Raw genomic sequence first — 18,738 nt, forward strand, 5'->3', positions numbered from 1 at the left:
ACCTCCGCATCCCGGGTTCAAGCAATTCTCCTGCCTCAGCCTCCTGAGTAGCTGGGATTATAAGCATGTGGCACCATGCCCGGCTAATTTTGTATTTTTAGTAGAGACAGGGTTTCTCCATGTTGGCCAGGCTGGTCTTGAACTCCTGACCTCAGGCGATCCACCCACCTCGGCCTCCCAAAGTGCTGGGATTACAGGCGTGAGGCACCACACCTGGCTGCTCACATTTCTGATATACAATAACACAGTAGTGGCCAGGTACGGTAATCACACCTGTAATCCCAGCACTTTGGGAGGCCGAAGTGGGAGCTCAGGAGTTTGAGGCCGGCCTGGGCAACATAGTGAGACCCCATCTCTAAATAAATTACATATTCAAAGAGTTAAATAATAAAATAGCATAGTATTTGCATAGAACCTATGATCACCCTCTCATATACTGTAAGTCATCTCTAGATTACTTGTAATACCTAAAACAATGTAAATGTTATGTAAATAGTTGTTATAGTGTATTGCTTAGGGAATAATGACAAGGAAAAAATTCTGGGCTGGGCAAGGTGGCCCACGCCTGTGGTCCCAGCTACTCAGGAGAGTGAGGTGAGATCGCTTGAGCCCAGGAGTTTGAGGCTACAGTGAGCTATGATTGCGCCACTGTACTTCAGCAAGACCCTGTCTCAAACAAATAAAAAAAAGAATTTTATTTTGGACATTGTGAGGTATGGGGAAAAAAACCAGACCCTGTCTTAAAAAAAAAAAAAAAAAGTCTATACATGTTCAATACAGAGGCAACTTGTTTTCCAAATATTTTCTTTTCTTTTTTCTTTTTTGAGACAGAATTTCCCTTTTGTTGCCCAGGCTGGAGCGCAATGGCGCGATCTCGGCTCACTGCAACCTCCGCCTCCTGGGTTCAAGCGATTCTCCTGCCTCAGCATCCCGAGTAGCTGAGATTACTACCACACCCGGCTAATTTTTTGTATTTTTAGTAGAGATGGGGTTTCACCATGTTGGCCAGGCTGGTCTCGAACTCCTGGCCTCAAGTGATCTGCCCACCTTGTCCTCCCAAAGTGCTGAGATTACAAGCGTGAGCTACTGCGCCCGGCATCCAAATATTTTCAGTCTGAGGTTAGTTGAATTCACAGATGCAGAACTCACGCATATGGAGGACCAACTCTATCCCACTATAGATGCACCATAATAAAAATACAGGGTTGGCCAGGCAACCCTACATAATGAAACCTAACTGAAACAAATGACCCAACTATGTATCTATTGCATTCCTTAATTACACAGAAAATATATATATATATCTTTTTATATGGAGTCTTGCTCTGTCACTCAGGCTGGAGTGCAATGGCACAATCTGGGCTCACTGCAACCTCCGCTTCCTGGGTTCAAGCGATTCTCCTGCCTCAGCCTCCCAAGTAGCTGGGATTAAAGGCACGCACCACCACACCCAGCTAATTTTGTATTTTTAGTAGAGATGGGGTTTCACCATGTTGGTTAGGCTGGTCTCGAACTCCTGACCTCAAGTGATCTGCCCATCTTGGCCTCCCAAAGTGCTGGGATTACAGGCGTGAGCCACCGTGCCCAGTCAGAAAATAATTATTTCAAATGACCTTGTATCCTTTTTTTTCCCCCCCACTCAGAAGGCTGAGGCGGGAGGATCACTTGAGTTGGGTAGTTCAAGGCCCCAGTGAGCTATGGTCACGCCACTGCACTCTATCTAGCCTGGGTGACAAAAGTAGACCTTGTCTGAAAAAAACCCAAAAACCCATAACCAGCATTCACAAGAGGTTTGGGCACAGATACAACAATGGTTAGACCTGGCTGTCTGGGGATTCCTCACGCTATCCTCTTCTGTGTGCGTTTGCAGTATTTCATTACATCAACTTCTTTTCTCTGTTGTCCAGACTGGAGTGCAGTGGTGTCATCTTGGCTCACTGAAATCTCTGCTTCCTGGGTCAAGCGATTCTCCTGCTTCAGTCTCCTGAGTAGCTGGGTCTGCAGGCGTGCACCACCATGCCAGGATAATTTTTATATTTTTAATAGAGACGGGGTTTCACCATGTTGGCCAGGCTGGTCTCAAACTCGTGACCTCAAACGATCTGCCCGCCTCGGCCTCCCTAAGTGCTGGGATGACAGGCCTGAGCCACCATGCCAGCCTGTTTTTTTGTTTTTTTTAACTTTGCCATATATCCATCCAGAATATCTCACATCAGTGTCAAGAGATATTCCTTGTTTCTTTTTTTACAGCTGTGTAGTATTCCATTGTGTGGCCACGCCATTGTATATTCAGCTAATCTCCTATGGGCAATAAATTACTTTCAATCCTTTGCCACTACAGACAATGCCACATTAAATAATAACCTTTGCATGTCATTTCACCTTTTTGCTAGTATCCTTGAAATAGATTAGGAGTGGAATTGCTGGATTAAAGAGAAATGCATAATTTTGCTAGCCATCACCAGATTCCTCTTCATTTTACATTTACAGTGAGACCTACAGAACATGCTGCCAAGGTTTTGGATTTTTGTCAACCTGTGTAGGTGAGAAGTGGTATTTCAGTGTGGTTGTAATGAGCATTTCTCTGGCTACAATTGAGTTTTAATATCTTTTGCAAAGTTTAAGGGCCAAGCTGGGCACAGGGACACATACCTGTAGTCCTAGCTATTCAGGAGGCTGAGGTGGGAGATCGCTTGAGCCCAGGAGTTCAGGGCTGCAGTGAGCTATGATCTTGCCACTACACTCCAGCCCAGGCAACAGAGTGAGACCCTGTCTCTAAAAATACAAAAAGTTTGAAAGGTGTTTTGTTGTCTTCTTCAGTAAACTCTTTCTCTCTCTCTCTCTCTCTATATATATATATATATATATTTTTTTTTTTTTTCTGACAGGTTGTTGGCTTTTTCCTTTCTTCTTTTCTTTTCTTTTTTTTTGAGGCAGAGTCTTGCTGTGTTGCCCAGGCTGGAGTGCAGTGGTGTGATCTCTGCTCACTGCAACCTCTGCCTCCCGGGTTCAAGCGATTCTCCTGCTTCAGCCTCCCGAGTTGCTGGGACTATAGGCGTGCACCACCACGCCCGGATAATTTTCGTATTTTTAGTAGAGATGGGGTTTCACTGTGTTGGCCAGGTTGGGCTGGAACTCCTCACCTCAAGTGATCCACCCACCTCAGCCTCCCAAAGTGCTGGGATTACAGGCGTGAGCCATCATGCTTGGCCATTGCATCACATTTGGATCACATGACAATTATAAACTAGTTTGGGAAGACTCAGCTCCTTTATAATGTTGAGTCTTTCTATCCAAGAATATATATCTGATCCTTCTGTGCAAGTATCCTTTTGAGTCACTTAAGAATATTTTACTTTTTAGGCTGGGCGCGGTGGCTCATGCCTGTAATCCCAGCACTTTGGGAGGCTGAGGTGGGCAGATCACCTGAGCTCAGGAGTTCGAGACTACCCTGGCCAACATGGCGAAACCCCGTTCCTACTAAAAATACAAAAATTAGCTGGGCGTGGTGGTGGCTGCCTGTAATCCCAGCTACTTGGGAAGCTGAGGCAGGAGAATTGCTTGAACCTGGGAGACGGAGGTTGCGGCGAGCCGAGATCGCGCCACCGCACTCCAGCCTGGTTGACAGAGCAAGACTCTGTTTCAAGGAAAAAAAAAAAAAAAAGAGGAGGAAAAAAGTATTAGAACCATATTTGCTTGCAGTGTGCATGCCTCATAGCTTTCGAAGGAGACACAGGAGCAGGTAACTAGGCTGCCTCCAGGGAGAGTGACCCTGGGTGGTTGGAGATGGCGAGATGCTTCACTGTGTGTGTGTGTGTGTTTGGCAGTGAATGTCCTGTCCTCTCCAAAAAGTAAATACGTAAAACTTGAGCTAGAAAAATAAAACAAGGTTGGGCATGGTGGCTCACGCCTATAATCCCAGCACTGTGGGAGGCCAAGACGGGAGGATCACCTGAGGTTAGGAGTTCGAGACTAGCCTGACCAACATGGCAAAATCCCGTCTCTACTAAAAGTACAAAAATCAGCTGGGTGTGGTGGTGTGCACCTGTAATGCCAGCTACTTGGGAGGCTGAGCCAGGAGAATTGCTTGAACCTGGGAGGAGGTGGTTGCCGTGAGCTGAGATCGTGCTATTGCACTCCAGCCTGTGCGACAGAGTGGGACTCCATCTCAATAAATAAATAAATAAATAAATAAATAAATAAATAAATAAATAAAACAGACCAGGGTGGCCTGATTATTCCTTACGTGCCCAAATAAATAAATAAATAAATAAATAAATAAATAAATAAAACAGACCAGGGTGGCCTGATTATTTCTTACCTGCCCACGTAATCCTAGATACCTGGTTTCTGGGGAAGCCGGGGTTCTGGAGCCACTGTGCCTGGTCCCTCCACACCCAGCCCCCTTGTTCGGGTTCCTAGGTGGGCCAGGCCCCCAGCGTCGTCATCGTGTTTGACTGCTCCATGGAGACGATGCTCCGACGAGTGCTACACTGGGGCCAGGTGGAGCACCGGGCAGACGACTCGGAGCTGGCCATCCACCAGCGCTTGGACACGCACTATACCTTGTGTGAGCCGGTCTTGACCTACCAGCGCAATAACCTGCTCTGAAACGTAGGTGCTCCCCGCTTCTGGCTCACTGCACCCCAACCCCTAGGGAACAAGTCTGGCTTTAACAGTCCAGGGTCACCCGGGCCTGGTCCTCGCTTTCCTACCAGGTAACCTGGGGGATTCCCATTCCCCCAGGAAATGCCTTGAGAACCCAGCCTTGGCTCACGTGGGAAGGCAATGGGACACTGGTGGGGCCTCCCTGCACGCCCTCACACAGCAGTCAGCAACACAAGCTTTCCTGACCCTGTCCCCTCTCCCTTCACGTGCATGCCTCTGGGATTTTCCCAGGGTCTGAGCGGGAGAGGGTGGTGTCCCTGCCGTGGGGCCCAGACCTGACCCCTGCGGCTCCCCTTTCTCTAGATCCCGGCAGAAGCAGCACCAGAGAACATCTTTGCCAAGTGCTGCTCTGTCATTGAGAGTCTGCAGTGAGACAGAGGGGCTGGGGGTGGGCCTTGCCCCTCACCGGAACCCGTGCAGTACGTGGGAAGGGTGCGTACCTAGGAGGTGAGACCTCCAGAAAGGGGGACCGATGCCCCCTGTGATTCCAGAGCAACAGGTTCCCTTTCCCGGGGTCTGTTTCCCCACCAGGGAGGTTGGCCAGGGGCCACCAAGGAACATGCCCCACTGGGCCAGGTGCCTGGCACACCTGCATGGGTCAGGGGACTGTCAACAGCCCCCCCTAGAGGCCACAGCTGTTACTGGCTCCTGCCGGGGCTATCACCAGGCCCATGAGCCCAGGACATCTAAGATGAAGCGAGTTTTAAACGCTGGCATTCAGCCACAACCTCAGAGACCCTGCAGCTGCATGCGGGGCTGCAAGACACCTGCCCAGGTCCAAACAGCTTGGGTGGCCCCTCGGTGCCCTCTCCCACCTCACATCCGGTCCCATCACCCAGCGAGCACTGACGCGGGCCTGGCTCCCACCTCAGGGCTCTGAACGTTAACAGGCCAGAGGACCTCCTGTAGCAACAGCCCATCCATGGGAACGCCGGTCCCTGAGGCCCTCCTGAGCGCCTTGCTCCCCAAGGTGCTGGAGGGAAACTGGGTAGGGGAAGACAGCAGTGCTGGGCTCAGCCAGCCTCCCCTTCCCACATGGGAAGGGGAAAGTCTTGGGGGGCCACACCCCACTCTAATTGGCTGAGACTTGCTCAACTTGTTTCCTCTCACAAACACAACTGCGGCCAGCACGCAGTCTTTTTTAAACAAAAAGCACTTTATTTAACAAAAAAAAAAAAGGGGGGGGGGCACGGTTAGGAAAGCACATTGAGCCTGAAGAAAACTATTTTATATTTTTCTTAAAAAAAAAAAAACACAAAGTTTGTAAATTTCAATCACCATTATCAGGCTTTTTAAACAACATCTATAAAGAACAAACATCCGCTTCAAAACTACAGGGAGGGAAGGAAAGGGGGGGAGACAGACAGCACCCGCAGACGGGGAGGTTTTGTTATCATTTATTTGTGAAGTTAAAAACGAGCGATAAAAAGTAAAAACTGCCATACAATTTTTTTTGTTGTTCTCATTTTGTTTTCAGTTTCAATCTCCTCTTGAACAGATGAAAAGACAACAGACCAGTCCTGGGAGGGGGGACGGGCGGGGCCGCGGGAGCTGAGCCAGGGCGGGAGGGAGAGAAGAGGGGGCTTGGCTGCTGGGGGAAGGGGTCCTGCAATACAACACCTGGTCCAAGGAATGTTCCACCTCTAACTAAAAAAAAGAAATAGCAAGAGTGACTTTTTTTTTTCCTTTTTAAAAGTTTATTTTAAAAACAAGAGGGCCGAGGGTGGGAGAAAATGAATTGCTTTATCCTCAGAGAGGCAGGTTCAGGAAGGCTGGGGGGTGAAGAATAGAGACTTTTTAATATATATATATATAATTTTATAAGTTCTGCTTTGCTCTTTGTGTTTTTAATTTTTAAGTTTTTTTTTTTTTTTGGCAGAGATTTAGATCTCGCTATCTTCTCTGGCTGGCTCAACATGGAAGGATCCCAATTTTGAAAGAAAAAGCATGTGAGACACAGAACAGGCGAGAGAGTGAGGGCCCGGCATGCCCCCAAGTCCCCCCCACCCTGCTTGCCGCGAGGGCTCCCCAGTACTCCCCACGGCAGCCATCGCTCTCTCGCCAAACAAAACAGAAGCCCCCAAACAGAACAAAATGGAAAAAAAAAAGATTTTTCACAGATGAAGAAGTTCACATTCATTCGATTCATTGAGCCTGCGGAGAGGGAAGAGATAGGAATTGGTCACTACGGGGAGGGAAGGGTGGGAGACTAGGGGGCGGAAGAGAGGAGGGGCTGGAACACCGTGGGGGGGGCCAGGAAGCCCCCTCCCAAACCTGCGCTGGCTCAGGCTGGAAGGACGTGCTTGTTAACTGTCTAGCCAGGTGCTCGCGGGACTCGCTGAAGTCACGCTGCTCCCTGATGGAGAAGGAGGGACAGAGCAGGAAGAGAGGAGAGGGGCCGCGGAGGGCGGAGGCGCTAGGGTCGTAGGGGAGCTGCCCTGTCTCCGGAGGGCGGTGGCTCCCGGCGCAGCACGACGACATGAACAATCCAGAGATCATGGTGTCCCCACAACACCCCTGTGAGGTAGGTTGGAAGGTGGCAACGATCTTCACGCCCACTTCACAGACAAGCCCGGGACACAGGCAAGCGCGAGCGCATGGGAGGCTGAGCCCGGCGGGGCAGGGGCCTGGGCCGCTCCCCGCGTCCCCACCAGTCCCTGCCAGAGCCAGGCCGCCTGCAACACAGTCACTTGGACACAGGAAAAAAGATCATGGGTTTAAAAAATAAAAGAATAAAAAGAACAAAAACCAAAAAAGTGATGCAGAGAAGGGGAAAAAATAGACGTTTTCTTCCCAAGTGGCCAGATTGTGAGCGAGGTGGTGGCGGCCGGGCCGGTGCCCACCGTCCGCGCTGTCTGCCTGCCCCCCGACTCCCCAGCAGTTCAGAAGTCCCGCCTGCGAGTCTCAGCGCTCCCCAGCATCACGACAGCGGCACACAGGAACAAGCAGCCGGCGCAGGGAGGCCTCTTCGTTTAACCTCTGGACCCAGCGAATGCTTCCCTGGCGGTGCGTGGGGACTCCCGGAGACCTCCGGCCACACGGCCCCCGCTGCAGGCATCAAGGGCACACCCCGCAGGGGAAGGGGTTTCCGGCGCTACCCACTAAGGCAGGATGGACGGTGGCCGGGGGTTGGAAGGAGAAAGGAGGAGGAGGAGGGTGGCAATTCCCACTTGCCTGCTGCTGTCCCTGCTGCGTGGGCGGCGGCTGGGGGCCGCCAGGACCTGGGGTCTGTCCGTAGTAAGCGGCCTGCTGTCTGTAATATTCCGCCCAGGCGGCACTGTAGTCTGGCTGGGAGCCTGGGGGAGCTCCTGGACCCCCTCCGGTGGCCACTTGCGCTGTGGGTGGACAAAGGCAGGTGAGAGGCTGTGGGTGAGGGCTGCCCCTGCCCCTGTCCCCGCATGGTGGCCACTCACCTTGCTTCTTGTAGTACTCCTCCCAAGCCTTCGTGTAGTCCTGCTGTGGGGGTGCTCCGGGCTGCTGGGGCTGCTGGCCTGTGCGGGCGCCGAGACAGGTCAGAAACCACTCCCCCGGCAGGGCTGGAGCCCCCCCGCCACCCTGCAGACTCACCGATCTTTTTGTAATACTCTTCCCAGGCCTTAGTGTAGTCCGACTGGCCGGTGGGTGGGGGCTGAGGGGGCTCACCCTGAGCCGGTGGGGCCGCAGGGGCCGGTGCGGGGCCGGGGACGGGGCCCGGGGGCTGCTGGTAGTAGTGTGAGTAGTAGGCGGCCCACGCGGCGTTGGGGTCCGCGGCCGCTGCAGCTGCTTTGCCTGCAGGAGATACCTCGGGTGAGACGGGGGGACAGAACAGGGCCTGCCCTCCGCCAGGTGGCCCATCACTTACTTGGGTCATGAGGAGCAGGCGGCTGCCACTGGGGGTAGGTATTGCCCCAGCCCTGGGGTGGGTACTGGTGAGGAGGGGGCCCCCCGGCACTGCAGGAGAGAAGAAAGGGATGCTTGAGCAGTGGTGCGGGGGTGGCCGCAGCCGGACCACCTGGGGTGGGGATGTTTTTCAGTGGGGAGGCGCCAGAGACCCAGACCACCAGGCTCAACGGGGCGCCTGGGAAAGGCCTAGACAAGAAGCAACTCGAAGGACGCGCAGCGTCAGCTTGAGGACATGAAAGAAGCCGCGAAACTTGCACGTGCACAGAGGGATGCTGAAAGGCACATGCTCTACCAGTAGACAGGAGAGGGCCTGTTGATGGTATCCACAAAAATGGGCTGGATGAGGCCCCCCGCCTGCACTTCTAGGGAAAGGGAAATGGGGTCTGCTATTCTTCTTGCCAGCTCAGTAAGCCCCCGGCCTCAAAACCCAGGAGGCAGAGGATACTCACTGTGGGGGAGCCCCGGGTGGCCCCTGGTTGAAGGGCCCAGGATTGAAGGGCCCCATTGGGCCAGCAGGGCCTGGGCCACCTGGGCCTGGTCCAACTGGGCAGAGAGGACCCTAGAAGGAAGGAGAGTAACCAAGGTAAGTGGGCTGGGATCCGGGCTGTGAGACCAAATCCCCAGAGCCCGCCCCAACCCACCTCGATCTTTTCCTCGATAAGCTGCTTGGCGTGGTCAATCTGCTGGGGTGAACCCCGGATGATGAACAACTTGAAGTTGGGGTCCCCGTTGGGTGGCAGCTGCCGGGAGATCTCTACGAAGGCTCCCGTCTGCTGGTTTATGGCTTTCACATTCTCGCCACCTGCAGAAACGCAGAAGGTGAAGGTGGCCTGCAGTGATGGCCCAGGGAAGAGGGGGCAAGGGATAGGGTGCAGGGGGCCACACTCACCTCGGCCGATGACCAGCCCACACTTGTGAGTGGGGATGGAGAAGGTCATCTCCCCGCCAGGGGGACCCCAATTGCCTTGGCCTCTTCCTCGGCCTCGGCCCCCCGGGGGCATGCCTGGACCCCCTGGAGGACCTGGGGGACCACTCTGCAAGACAAGAGGAGGAGGAGGATGATGAACCCTGGAAGCCGGTCTGGTCTTGCACTCCCCTGGAGGCCCTGCCAGCCCCTTCAGCACCCGGGGCCACCTACCCTGAGGCTCTGGAGGAGGTCGTTGATGATCCGGGCTGCGTGCTCGCACCTGTCTGGGGGCCCCATTATATGAGCAATCTTCTCGGGCCCTGTCCCGTCATCTGAGGCCAGCACCGAGAGAGCAGAGACACAAGTTTAAAAGAAGAGCCCACCCCAGAGCCCTGCAACGCCGCCTCCAGCGCAGACACCACGCCGGCCTGAGATCTCAGACGCGCTGCGCCGCTCCCAGCCTCCACTCGCTCAGGGATTGAGGGGGAGGCGGCCCACATTCCCAGAGAAGGAAACCCACGGCCAAGCCAGGAGGTGGCTCAAGCTTCTTCCAGCACACAGCACCCCCAGCACTGAGAGATTTTACAGAACAATAAATCTCTGAAAAGCCAGAGGGGCCCTTCTCCCCACGGCAGGCAGCTCAGAGACTGCCTGAGGACTGGCAAGAGCCCAGAGCTGAGGTGGAGTGCCCTGATCCAGCCTGCGGGGCACCCAGGGCTGTCCTGTCAGGATAGGCTCCATCGTAGGGGGAGGAAGAGGAGATCTGATAGGGATAGGAACACACGTTCCCCCTGGATGTGGAAAGCCCTCATGTGTCTGTCCCAGAGAAGAGAAGGGACTGGCCATGTTCTGACGGCTGGACTAAGAGCCGTGAGGTGCTATGGAGGCCACCTGGCTGACCACGGTGCCCAGCTCCCTCAGAGCCTGCCTCCCAAAGAGGGTGGGGGTGCACTGGCCAGGGGCAGGGTGGGCCAGGCCCTGACCTTGCTTGAACTGTATCCGCACGCCAGCATCATTCTGGATCTTCTTGATCATCTCTCCACTCCGGCCAATGACCACGCCAACAGAATGCCTGGGCACTGGCACCTGGGGAGGGAGGCAGCAGCGTCAGCTCGGCCCGCAGCTCTGCTGCCCTCTGCTGCCCACTGGCCACAAGGAGCCACTCACCCCGGCCCCTCCCTCCACTGGCGGGGGAGAGGGGGGTGAAGGCAGGGCCCACACTCACATCGATGCCTCCGCCAATCCGAGATCCGTACTCATTCCGGTCCCCAAAGCCGCCTTGGTCACGTTCCCGGAGGATGTCCATCACCATCTCACAGGCTTGCTGCAAACACACAGGAAGCAGCCCCCATGGGTGAGCCCTGCTGCCCCACACCCCCCCACCTCCTCGGGGGTGCGGGCCTCAACTAAGGACCCACGAACCCTGGGTGAGCCCAGCACAGCACCCTACTGAGCTCTCTACCTGCCACTTTAATGGGGAGGCACTACCAGCAGCCCCGTTTCCAGATAAAAAAGCAGAAGGTCAGAGGTGAGGCCGGTGCCTCACACACACAAAGCTGGGAGTCAGTTCAGGGCCATCCTACGAGCCAGCGCTCTTGCAAGCCTCTTGGTGTTATGACCGACTGTTCACATATCTCTCTGGCGGAATGCAGACCCCGAGACCGCTGGCCCTGCCCACCTGCCCGTGCCTCTCCAGAACCCCCTCCACCACCCCAGGGCGTGCTCACCTGCACTTTGTAAGGATCCCCAATGATGCGGAGAGGTTTGTCCACATTCGTATTCTGAGATCCGTCCTGAATTAAGATCATCTTCACTCCAGCGCGTTCCTTTACAAGCAAGGTTAACCGTTAGTGCTGGGCTCTCCCAGGACTTCCTGGGCTGCTGTGGTGGTGGCGGTGGGGTGTGGCACACGGATGCAGAGGAAGCTGCCCAGGTGCTGCCCTCACCTGCAGCTGCTTAATGGTCTCCCCGCCCTTGCCAATGACCAGGCCGGCCTTGCCCGCGGGGATCATGATCTCCTGCACGGTGCCGTTCTGGCCCCCGTTGGCGTTGTCGTGGAACTGTCCTGGGGGGCCCCCACGACCCCGAGACACAATGTCATCCAGCATCATCTTGGCTTTCCTGGGAAGGGGAGGAGCGGGGGATGAGCGGGTGCCACCGCTGGAGAAAGGTACTGGTCTGGTGGCCCACCCAGCTCAAAGGGAAGGCGACCCCAGAGTGTGCAAGGATGACAGGGAAGAGGGGCCAGTCACAGGGGCTGTTCAGGCTCCAGGTTCCCCAGGTCTTGGGCTGCCGGGGAATCAGCCTCATGTTAACATGGCTGTCTGGAGATGGGGGCAAGAATGGAGGACATGGCGTGCAAGTTGCTCCCAACTTTCAATTCAAACGGACAGAGCAGGCTTCTGCCTGCCCCCCACATCACAATGAGAGGCCCTGTGGGGACTTACTGGACAGATTCTGGGGCTCCTGTCAAGGACACACTGCGCTCGGGTAGGCCACCGCTGTCTGAAAAGAGGAGATAGAGTCAGTGCCCTCCCTGGCCCACAGGCAGAGAAAGGCCTGCCTTGGACACGAGGAAACTTTCAGAACAACCAAGGGCCACTTCTGTCCCATTCAGTGCCTGACAGATCAGTTTACTTCCCCTAAACACCTGGGAGGCTGCTCGATGCAAGGCCAAGGTTGGGAAGAGATCCCAGAAGGGAGGTAGGACTTTAAGGGAAAAGGATGAGGTGGAGGGAGTTGCAGATTCCAGAAGGTCCAGGAGCCGGCCACCCCCACTACCAATGATGACCAGAGCCGCTTCTATAGACAACACGTGCTACACGCCCAAGGAAGCCTCAGAACCCCCTACCCAGCAGGCTTTCTGTAGCTCAGGACTCTGAGATTCGAAAGGTAACTACATTGCCTGAGAGCAGATGTGCAGCCAGAACCGGGATTTGCTCCTGGGCCTGACCTCAGAGTGACCCCTCTGTCCAAGGCACCACCCTGTCTCACGCAGTCTTGCCGGGGTGCTTTCACCCACGCGGCAGGTCAGTGCAGTGCGTCGAAGCTCGGTGTCTGGAACCAGGCCCCTGTGCGAAATGCTAGCCCTGCCACCTCAGTCCATACCCACCCACTGAAAATAAAAAAAGTCACAGCTGTGCCCCGTGGGCAGTACTAGTGGAGTGAGATACTGCACTGAGCCTGGTCCGTAGTAAGCACCAACAAGCGCCAGCTCGCTTCCTGTCCACAGTCCCCGTGGAAATTAAGTAATTAAAGGAAAGTGCAAAGGGCCCAACCCTGGCCCCCACTCTGGCAGGAACCTGACGCTCTTATACCTGGAGAAATCTGTACTTTGCAGCCTGAATCCTGTTGGATTTTGTTAATTTGTTCACCTCCTCTGCCAATGACTGGATGGAGAAAGAAGGAGAAAAGCAAAGCGTGATGAGGGAAGGGAGCCCAGGCCTCAGGAGACTGTGTGGCCGGGGCCCCAGCCCCTCTGACGTTCAGGAGGGCAGCAGTCCTCTAGAGAGCTCCTGTCCTCTGCCCAGAGGGGACGAAGGAGGGACAAATGAGAACAGCACATAGGAGCCCTCTCAGACCAGGGCTTCTGGGCTGGCAGGAGCTCACAGGACACTTCCTCCTGGGGAAGAGTGGGCCTCCCCACCCAAGGTGACCCACACTCACTCAGGCCCACCATGCCGTCTGGGACCCTGTACTCTTCTGTCATTGAAGTCCTGTAAAGAGACACGCCAAAGGTCAGTCCTCAAGTGGGAAGGGAGGAGGACAGCAGCTCTGGAAGGTCTACTTGAAGCCAAGGCCACCATAGGTCTAAGCAGAGTCTGACCACACAGGCCACAAAACTGCCAAGGCCTCAGTTTCCCCATCTGTGCCCCGAGAGGCTTGCTCTGGGCATTGTGGGCCTTGGCCTGGTGCCGTCCCATTGATTCAGGGCGAGAGGGAGCACTGAGTAGCAAGCTGACAGTCACTCTATGTCTCTCAGTTCTAAAAAGCTGGCTGTATGTCCTTTTCATCTTATTTTCCTAGTATTTTATGAAACTACTGGCCCATTAAAAACAAACAAACAAAAAATGACCCCTGACAACTGCCCTGTGTCAGGTTCACCTCAGTCCATCTGGTGGGGCAAAGAGGTGGCAAAGAGCCCTGAGCTCCACAGCACTGAGTGGGATGGGCACTTGCAGATGTGTGAGGGAGGGAAGCAAGGCCCTCCTAGCCTCTTCCAGGAAGACGACATTTGTGCTGCTCAGAGTCCCCACCCCAGCGGAGGAAGCCATAGGGTGCGGAGACCACCCTATCACTACAGTGACTGCCACGACGCTCCCCTCCCACAGCCCTTCAGACAAGGGGTACGAGGAACGGACACAGCTCCTCTGCCTCATTCCCGTCTGAGCACTCTGGTCAACTGGCACTGGGGGATAAAACCTGAGAGATGTGCCCCCAGTCAGAGCCCTCCCAAGTCAGCAGAAAGGCCAGTCTGCTGGCCAACAGACAAGAAAGCAGTGTGGGCCCCACCATGGCTTACCTTGGGGGAGGATGGATGGGTCCAAGTTGAGAACTGATTGCTGTAGAGAGAAAACCCAAAGCAAAGACTGGCTTAGCTCCTCCTCGGGCACTTGGCACTGCCTGCCCCGGGTCAGTGGGAGCTGAGCCCGGCACCACGGTCCCCAGCCTGCTCCAGTGCCTCATGGATGCTGTGGATTCCTCCCCATAAAAGCACAGAGCTCATCTCCCTCAATTTCAGGGTTCCTGGGATCCCTCAAACGTATGGGCCCCAGAATGAAGCACCAGGGGCCTCTGTAAAGAGCTGCCACCTCCTCAGTGCTTCCAGCTCCTGACTCCTGAAAACCTCAACCCTCTGAAGCCACATATCTGCCACCAGACCCCCTGGACTTACAGTCTCCCTGGGAAGCCAGCTTCTTGCTCTCCGGTTGATCTGGGAAAGAGAGAGGATGGCAGATGCAGCACCCACCCACCCACGGCCGCCTCGAACCTGATGCTGGTGCCACATGTCCAAGGTAAACAGTGCCCCTCGGCCCCCACCCTTAACAGGAGCTGAGACAGGAGCCCAGGAGAGACTGGCCCCTGAGGGAGGCCAGACCCCGCCAATTCCGCCACCAACGCTCAGAGTAAAAAAGCCTTCAGAACACGCAACCACCACCAGGCACCTGAGTCCTCCCGGTTTAGGACAGGACCTGCCTCTAGCAGGGAGGGTGTCGTGGATAACAGTGGAGTTGGTCAGGGTTGATCATCCGCTACTTGGGGTCACACTACGCACCCCAGAGCTGGGCCAACTTCACATCAAGCCTCAGTAACTGCTCCAGGTTGCCTCAGCCTCCCAGAAAGGGAGGAATCATCTTGGGAACTTACAACTTCGACCCAGTCACAATCAATCTGCCCTCCTCTCTGCCACCTGATACCTCAGGATGGCAGACGGAACAAGAAGAATTAACAAGGCCGGGATTGCTGAGGTTTTAAAAGACCAAACAACAGTGACACCCACCCCCTCTGAACCACACTCAAACAAAAGCACCTCTTTAGGCCCCCAGCCCTTCCTCCTAAGCTAAAGGCAGCAGCAGGGAGTTACCTCCATCTTCCAACTGTCTCTTTTGGCCCCCAAAACCAAAATCAGGAGTGCTGTTATTCACTGTCGTGGCAGCATCGCCTCCAATTTTGGCTGCAATCTAGAATAAAGTAGTAAGCACAGAAGAATTACCACCAAAAACAACCCTCCATGGCACCCAGGTCAACTTCTCAGAACATCTCCTGGACACGAAAGCCCATCAGGTCTTGGTGTCTGGCCCTCCAACTTAGGGAAGAGTCAGTTGGTTAAGACATCCTAGGAGTTTTGAACCTAGGCCTCAAGGTTCTCACCAGTTAACTGGGAATATCAAAATTCCCCTCTTCCCTTCTCCTGGGATTTGTGTCTTAATTGTGGCCAGCCCATAATCCACACTGACTTCGTTCTAGGGGTGACAAGGAACAGAGGCTCAGGTGTCAGGGAGGGTTCCCAGGTCATCTCCAAGAGCTTTCAGACACTTCCTCCTGCCAGTGGCCCCAGCTCAGAAAACCAGAAAGTGTGTTTTTTTTTAGCCCCGTTTTCCTGGGATGCTGAAGAGTTCAATTTTCCCCTATCTCCCCCACTCTCAAAATCCTTTTATCAATTTATTGAATAAATTTGAGCAAAGCGATCACTTCAAGGGATATGAAATCCTCATTTGACCAAAACAGAAGACTCTCTGGATGGCTGGGCACTGTGACTTATGCCTGTAATCCCAGCATTTTGGGAGGCCGAGGCGGGCAGATCACTTGAACTCAGGAGTTCGAGACAGACTGGCTGACATGGTCAAACTCCATCTCTACTAAAAATACAAAAATTAGCTGGGTGTGGTGGTGCACACTTATAATCCCAGCTACTCGGGAGGCTGAGGCAGGAGGAGCACTTCAACTGGAGAGGTGGAGGCTGTGGTGTGCTGAGATCGTGCCACTGCACCCCTGCCTGGGTGATATTGAGACTGTTTCCAAAAAACAAACAAACAAACAAAAAACCAAGACTCTATGGGACACAAGTTACATCTCAGACACGTGAAGAGCAACTTTAAAGAAACCTCAACCCAGCAAACTTAGGATCAGAGTCTGGGGTTTAGAAACCCAAACCATGTTAAGAATCTCCCTTTCCACCAGTCTCCATTTTTCTACGCTGCCCTAGAGCCAAAACTCATGGGATGCCCACAGGGGGCCTGTCCCCACCAACTGACAGCACCAGCTTCCTCCCTTCAAGCTGTCCCAGAATCAGACGGTTCCATGGGCAATAAGACCAAATGCACGCTAGAACCCACCCAACTCCAAGGGTGAGAGAGACGACAGAGGGCCAGAACACAGGCGTTCACTTAACGGGACCTCCCACCTTGGGAGGAGCCAGTCTCTAGCCCCGGAGGCATTGGGACAGCCCAGGAGCCGGTCGGCGGCAAAGTCCTCCCATTCTACCGACCCCCACCCCTCCAGGCCATGGGGAGGCTGCAAATGGAGCTGGAGAGGTCAGTCCTAGCAGCATGTGACACTTCCTTGTCATTACGCCTCAATACACGGGGGTGGGAGACCCTCCCTTCTTTCCCCCAAAGAGACAGACCACGCTTTCAAGCCACCAAAGCATCCAAGAGCCAGTCCCCATGCTCGTCTTCCCCATTTCGCCCAAGTGCTCAGCCCTAGACAGGTCCCCATCCACTTTCCCGACTGAAGAGGAAGGACTGTCCCTCCCACCCCCACAATGTCCCTTTCTCCTAGAGAGGGGACAGAAATGGGACTGGGTTGGGGGCAAACACTGCCCTTTGCCCTGATATGGAGGGGAGAGTAAAGGCCCTCCGCCCGGGAAGGTGGACCCCTGCCTCCAGGCATGTCCTAAGGCCGGGGGGCTAAGGGGGGGGTCCCAAAAGTGCGTCTCCGAGCTCCGGGGCGCCTGCACACCCAGGCGCCGCTCCTGGTGACCCCCAGTGCGCCCCTACTCCCTGCAGGGGGGTCACCCGTTGGGATCCCACTCGAGGCGCAGCGGGAGGGCCAGGCCCCCGCCTACCGCCCACGTGACCCCGCGACGGCCCCGGCCCCCCTCCGCGACCCTGCGCGCGCGCGCGCACGTGACCCCCGCCCCCTCCCCCGCCTGCGCGCGCGCGCGAGCGCGCCCCTCAGGCCCTCGGCCTCCTCACCTGGCGGGCCCGCTGCACGGCGTCGGCGAAAGCGTCCTTGCGGATTCCCGGGCCGCCTCCGCCGGGTGGCTGAGAGGGGCCCCCGGCCGACCCCCCGCCCGGGCCGCCGCCGCCGGGACCGCCGCCGCCCCGGTCCCCCGCGCCTGGCGGGCCCGGCGGAGGGCCTCCCCCGGCGCCTCCGGCTCCCCCGCCCCCGCCGGCGGGCGGCGGCGGCCCGGGCGGGGGTCCTCCCGTGCTGTAGTCCGACATGGCGCGGCGGGGCCGGGCCTGGCGCGGAGGCTGAAGCTGAGGAGGCGGCGGCGGCGGCGGCGGCTCAACGCGGGAACAAGGCCTCGCTCCACACGGCCGCGGAGCACTCTGGGAACCCAGCCGCTGGGAGGACGACGAGGGGGGAGAGAGTCGCCCCTCCCGCCGCCGACGTGACGGACGACTCCGGCGGGCCAATGGGAGGCAGCCGCCGCACCCCGGACACCAATCGCGAGCTCTGTAGGAGGTGGCCAATCGGAGTGCAATGAGGGGCAGTGGGCGGGAGGCTCAGAGTGACTGACAGCTCTCAGAGGCAATAGCTGCGAGCTGCCCGTGCTGGGCGGGCAAATGAAGGAGATCTGAGAAGGCAGGAGGCCCAATGAAACGCGAGTGCCAGATTCGCGGGGCGGCTTCAGAATTAGATTGACGGTTCTGAAGAGTCACGTGGACTGTAAGGCCGGGCCTAGTGGAAGACTCCTATGGACCGGCTGGGTGGGCGTTAGGTTTGATAGTCGTGGACACAAGCCAATGAATGCACGTGAGAGGTGGTGCTTGTAAAGATGGGCAGCCAATTAATCCAATTCCTGACGAGTTCTGGGTGATGAGGTTGGCTTTGGACTTTAATTGCTTCCCTTGTTAACCAGAATCCTTTTCTATCCCTGACTTCTAAGCCAATGGCTGAGCGACATGGGTGGGTGTTCGGTGACTGACACTGGTCTGGACAAATGGGAATGAAGGAAATCAAAGCGCCCACTTTTGGTGGGAGCCAGTGGAAGCGCCGCTGCATTGGGGCGGAGTCGGCCACCAGACAGCGAGGGGATTAGCGGGAACTGTAGTGAATGGCAGCCGACGTGGGCGGTGGCAATCGGCTGCCCGAACTCAGGCCTGATGTCTGGGTTAGCTCACCGGCAGCCTGGTTGGGTAGGCCCGGCACGTGGCCCGCTTGAAGCCTTAGAGATCGAGCGCTTCCGGAGGTGGGGAGGCCGGAAAGCAGGAAACTCGGGATCCCCCGGGCCTTCTTCTCTCTCGACCCCCCATCTAGAGCGTCCAGTTCTCTTGCAGGACTCAAGGAACCAGCCCCACTCACGAGTCCAGAACCGTTCCAACAACCGGGATCGAGGGATCACAGCCTCGATCACACCCCTCACTTCACACCCCTCACTCCCTTCGCCTAAGGCCCTGGGATCCAAGCCTCAAGCTCCTATCCTAGGTCCTCACTTCCTCTCCTGGACACAAATTCCCATTCAGGACCCAGAGGCCCAAGGTCCCCAGCTCCCCTACTGGGTCCAGGGATCTCATGCACCCAGTTCCACTCCTAGGCCCAAGTATCCAGACACG

General features: G+C 55.9%; 1 protein-coding gene, 1 non-coding gene and 1 pseudogene across 5 annotated transcripts in view, besides 3 other annotated features; 1 reads left to right on the forward strand and 2 right to left on the reverse strand.

Annotated features, from left to right (window-relative positions):
• LOC390877 (adenylate kinase isoenzyme 1-like) overlaps window positions 1–5,106 on the forward strand; it is an 18,636-nt pseudogene extending 13,530 nt beyond the window's left edge. Inside the window, exons 3-4 of the transcript NR_172890.1 lie at window positions 4,423–4,614; window positions 4,972–5,106. The product of NR_172890.1 is annotated as an adenylate kinase isoenzyme 1-like (transcript). The remainder of the gene's footprint in view (window positions 1–4,422; window positions 4,615–4,971) is intronic.
• Window positions 4,399–5,223: an enhancer, noted in NCBI's record as "H3K27ac-H3K4me1 hESC enhancer chr19:6411708-6412532 (GRCh37/hg19 assembly coordinates)". NCBI's record gives its function as "activates a minimal SCP1, AML or CMV promoter by ChIP-STARR-seq in primed H9 embryonic stem cells {active_cell/tissue: H9 hESC(primed)}" and the evidence as "EXISTENCE:reporter gene assay evidence [ECO:0000049][PMID:30033119]".
• Window positions 5,224–6,048: an enhancer, noted in NCBI's record as "H3K27ac-H3K4me1 hESC enhancer chr19:6412533-6413357 (GRCh37/hg19 assembly coordinates)". NCBI's record gives its function as "activates a minimal SCP1, AML or CMV promoter by ChIP-STARR-seq in naive H9 embryonic stem cells {active_cell/tissue: H9 hESC(naive)}" and the evidence as "EXISTENCE:reporter gene assay evidence [ECO:0000049][PMID:30033119]".
• On the reverse strand, window positions 5,804–17,513 carry KHSRP (KH-type splicing regulatory protein). Of its 3 annotated transcripts, none has more exons than NM_001366300.1 (20): window positions 17,155–17,513; window positions 15,042–15,138; window positions 14,352–14,390; window positions 13,980–14,019; window positions 13,124–13,173; window positions 12,775–12,846; window positions 11,905–11,962; window positions 11,404–11,578; window positions 11,185–11,283; window positions 10,683–10,781; window positions 10,441–10,543; window positions 9,689–9,789; window positions 9,440–9,584; window positions 9,192–9,352; window positions 9,000–9,109; window positions 8,510–8,598; window positions 8,311–8,436; window positions 8,082–8,159; window positions 7,843–8,003; window positions 5,804–6,822 (listed from the first exon to the last, which is right to left on the reverse strand). In NM_001366300.1, exons 1-20 carry the CDS (start codon window positions 17,401–17,403, stop codon window positions 6,814–6,816), a joined length of 2,061 nt encoding a protein of 686 aa, NP_001353229.1. In that variant the 5' UTR covers window positions 17,404–17,513; the 3' UTR covers window positions 5,804–6,813. The 3 variants fall into 3 exon arrangements, with proteins under 3 accessions (NP_001353229.1, NP_003676.2, NP_001353228.1); NM_003685.3 differs by having other exon boundaries at window positions 8,236–8,436; NM_001366299.1 differs by having other exon boundaries at window positions 5,804–8,003; window positions 8,236–8,436.
• Window positions 9,112–9,213, reverse strand: MIR3940 (microRNA 3940). Its single transcript, NR_037505.1, has one exon. It is a non-coding gene; the product is annotated as a microRNA 3940 (primary transcript).
• Window positions 17,821–17,940: an enhancer, noted in NCBI's record as "active region_13824". NCBI's record gives its function as "activates an Ori minimal core promoter by ATAC-STARR-seq in GM12878 lymphoblastoid cells {active_cell/tissue: GM12878}" and the evidence as "EXISTENCE:reporter gene assay evidence [ECO:0000049][PMID:35858748]".

The sequence above is a fragment of the Homo sapiens genome, chromosome 19 (assembly GCF_000001405.40).
Source record: "Homo sapiens chromosome 19, GRCh38.p14 Primary Assembly".
Taxonomy (NCBI): Eukaryota; Metazoa; Chordata; class Mammalia; order Primates; family Hominidae; genus Homo; species Homo sapiens.